Here is a 4,523-nt window from a genome sequence, read left to right on the forward strand (position 1 = left end):
GTTATCACTGTTATAACACCTTTGACTAGTTGCTGGGGTTGGAGTGATGGCGAAGAATATATATTGACAATATTTCTTTTTAAGAGATCAAAGCCTGTATTAGTTATAGTATTCCAAAAGGAAAAAACACATAATAAATTAATTGTTATAACCATAGCCTTTAACATCTTACAAAGTACTTGTACATCCTTTTCTCATTGAAGCCTACCTGCAGTTCTAGGTTGAGATTATTTTTATTTACCATTGAAAAAAACTGTGGTCATGTGGCTTACACAATTTACACAAACCTTGTTTCTAAGGTAAATATCACAGACATAGCAGGTCTCCTGTTCTGTGACATATGACAAAAAGAGACAAATAAAACATGTTTTTCCTTCCTTTTACTTCATGTTTTCACTACCTCCCTAACTCCATCTGGTCCAGGTTGAAGTAAGCTGACAGTCTTCATTTACCTTCTGTTTGTTTTGAGAAGACTCTTGAACAAAATTAAACCTCAGGGGCAGGATAAGAAAATTGGGAGAAGGAGACAGGTTCATTGGAAGACATAAACCATGAAGATGATTGCCAATATGGGGACAGACAAGGTTAACTAGAAATCTGTTTGGCTATAAAGCAGGAAAGATAGAGCCAGTATAGGAAGATCAGAAAAAAGACAGGAATCAGGAAAACTCCCTAATTTTCAGACCACGATTTCACCTTTTCATAGCATATTAGGATGAAATGAACAGAAATCCTGTTTCAATATGTTAGACTGTGTAAACTAGATGAGCCACATGTATTCTCTGGGCCTGTTTCTCTCTCTCCTAAACACACACACAATTTAGGATGGCCAAATAAAATACCAGATACCCAGTTAAATATGGATATCATACTAAAAGATAAATGCTTTTTTAACCTAAGTATGCCTCAGTTTCATATGAAATATATGAAATCTACTAAAAAATTGGTTTCTTTATCTGAAATTCAAATTAATTTGATGCCCTGTATTTTTATTTACTAGATCTGGCAACCGAAACCTAATGAAACTTGAGATCAACTTGCTGCCACTGAATATAACCCTATGGAGCTGAGGAAATCACTACTGCCCCCTGTTGGACTCGGTTGGAACAGTCATTTTCTTGTTTTGAGATGTGCATATTAGTTGCAAATAATTCTTAGTTTCTGTCTGTAGTTACACAAAGTTTGTGCTTTAAGTACAGTTTCCACTCTGTTGATGCTGAAACAAGTTTTTCAAGTAGATCTGGTTTGGAATTTGTTCTCTCCTTCCCCAAGTTCCAGAGATGCTCAACCCCTTCCACTATCACCAAGATAACTTCCTTTGCCAAACTAGCAAACATGTCCAGTTAAATCATAAATTGAACTTAACGTCAACCTCCCATGGACGCATTACACATTACACATTACAGATGCCATTAATGTGCACATATTACACATTACTTCCTTTGCCAAACTAGCAAACACGTCCAGTTAATGATAAATTGAACTTAATGTTGACCTCCCACGGACACATTACAAAGACGTAATAATCAATGTCACAATTTTCCCTACAAATCCTACTCATTGGGTGTGAGATCTATCACAAAAAGTTTGTAGAACCTCCCTTCCTGGGAGTTGGTTAATTTGAGAGAGGTCATCTCAAATGGATCAAATTCAGGTGTATCAAATGGCAGGGAGGAAGAAATAGACGACTCCTCAGACTCCATCAATTACATTTTTATTTGTTATATCTCATTCTCTACTTTGCCAGGGAGAACATATGAAATTGGACTTGCAAAGATGGCGAACCATCTCTTCCAAAGAGTGTAGAGCGATACTCCCATCCCTGCATCTGACCATGAACCTGACCCTTTTTATAGCCCCCACAGTAAAAGCCAAAATAAAGTAAGATTGCTTTGTGTGCCCTTGAGGTGGTTTTGGTGCACAGAAAAAAACCATTCAGCAGTCTAAATATTCCTATTGAATGTATTAAATGTTAACTATGAAAATATAAATCTCATCTTAAGTCTTTTCTTGAAGTGAAATTCACTTAAGATTAGGCATTTTAAAGTGGACAATGTAGTGGCATTTAGTCCCAAACATTTCCATTGCTCCAAAGTAAAACTCCCTTCCCGTTAAGCAGTCATTCCTCATTCCCACCTTCCCCCTCACCTTGGCAATCACTAATCTGCTTGCTATCTCTATAAATTTGCCTATTCAGATATTTCACATAAATTGAATCATATACTATGTGGCCTCTTGTGGCCGGCTTCTTTCATGTAGCATAATATTTTGGAGGTTCATCCACGTTGTAGCATGTATCAGTACTTCATTTCTTTTATGGCTGAATGACATTTTCCTTAAGTTTTTTAGTTCAGCTTATAAAACTTATTATTCTATTTCATGGAATTAGCAAATTTTGAATGATAGCTTTTAAACTGACTGATTAATATGTAGTCCATTGACATAGTTAATTAAAACCCTTTAAAATTTCAAATAGTATATATACATTTAACATGTTCAATTTTCTTTAATAGACTTTTTAATTGAAGTATAACAGACACATAGAAAAGTACACAATTCCTCAGTGTGCAGTTGCATGCATTTTCACAAAGTGAACATGCCTGTGTAGCTGCCAACCAGACTAAGCGGAAGAACATGACCAGCATTGCAGAGAGTCCCCCTGCCCCTTTGCCTTTTCCTGTGAAAGAACCATCTTTAAGTCCTGAATCTGTATGCTTTTCTGTGGAAGAAATACTTAACAAATTATTTGCTAGCCGCTTGTCTACCTTAACAGAAATGGCTGCAGGCTGCCAAAGACACGATTCAGAAAGAAGCTCCCTGTTGGTCTTGTGGCTTTTGGCATCCCCTAACACCCCCTCAGAACCCTCTGCCTGCAGATCCGTCCCTTTGTGCTGAGTAGGTGGCACACATTGCCCTTTAGTGTGAAGGAATTGGAAATAGAAGAGAATGACACTATCTCAATTATAACTGGGTTTATGCTGAAGATCCACTGCTAGCTGCTGTATATACATTTCCTACAGTTATGGGCAATTATTCCTGTTTTTTTTTTTTTTTTTTTTGAGACGGAGTTTCACTCTTGTTGCCCAAGCTTGAGTGCAATGGCGCGATCTCAGCTCACCGCAACCTCCACCACCCCAGGTTCAAGCGATTCTCCTGCCTCAGCCTCCCAAGTAGCTGGGATTACAGGGATGTGCCACCACACCTTGCTAATTTGTATTTTTAGTAGAGGCAGGGTTTCTCCATGTTGATCAGGCTGGTCTCAAACTCCCAACCTCAGGTGATACACCTGCCTTGGCTTCTCAGAGAATCCTTTTTTATTTTTATTTAAAAAAAATTTTTTTTTGAGACGGAGTTTTGCCCTTGTTGCCCAGGCTGGAGTGCAATGGTGCGATCTTGGCTCACTGCAGCCTCCGCCTCCCAGGTTCAAGTGATCCTCCTGCCTCAGCTGCCCGAGTAGCTGGAATTACAGGCGCCTGCCACCAGACCCGGCTAATTTTTTGTATTTTTAGTAGAGATGGGTTTTTGCCATGTTGGCCAGCCTGTTCTTGAACTCCTGGCCTCAGGTGATCCGCCCTCCTTGATCTCCCAAAGTGCTGGGGTTACAGCCGTGAGCCACCTCGCTCCGCCTAATTAATCCTTTTGTTATGAAAACCCTTTAGGTATTTCCAGATGTAGACAGGGAAACTCAATGGACTTTAATGGCACATGCTCTCAAGGGTTCCCGTGGCCAGACCAGGTAAATAGCCCGCTCTTAGAAAAGATGCCTTGAGAAGAATTATTTCTAGCCAGAACAGACTTTAATAGCATCAGCTAGATGAACAGAAAGCCCAGAGCTAAGGTAAATGCAGAAAGTAGTTAAGAGTTCTGGTGAGGAAAATAGTATGGGGCCATACAGTACAGAGCTTCAAAAGCTAGGGCAGGAATGTGTTGTGAGGCAATCAGGAATCACTGGAGGTTTGTGAAGGGAAACCCATCAGGGTCGAATCACCCTCCTCTCCTATATCATTTTTATGTTCAGAGGGGCCTTCTGACATAAAGAGTAGGACTGATGAGTGAGTTTTCACACCTGTGACTTCTTGGGAGCGATCAATCTGTTCACAGAGACCTTTTATCCGCCTTTGTCCTCACCATGGAGTTGACCACCTACCTGGCCTTGTACTTCTTGAGTGATGATGAGCATGTTATCCATAGCAACCATAATAATAGGTAACAGTATTTATAATGTGTCTGTCACTGTTCTAAGTAGTTTTTAATCTTTTTTATCTTCACAGCAACCCTCAAAGTCAGTATTATCATTATCCCGATTTTACAAATGAAGAAACTGAAGCACAGAGAGGTCAAGTAGTTCACCCAACGTCACCACTAGCCAGTAAGTGGCAGAAAAAGGATTCACAGCTAAGTGGCCTGACTCTAGAGCCTATATTCTTACCTTAATCTACTCTAGACTATTCTCAACCTTAAGATATTTTATCTACATCAAAGCTGCATTTAATGCTCAATTGTTTTTACACATCTGTAGGCTG

This window comes from Homo sapiens, chromosome 7 (genome assembly GCF_000001405.40).
Source record: "Homo sapiens chromosome 7, GRCh38.p14 Primary Assembly".
Taxonomy (NCBI): domain Eukaryota; kingdom Metazoa; phylum Chordata; class Mammalia; order Primates; family Hominidae; genus Homo; species Homo sapiens.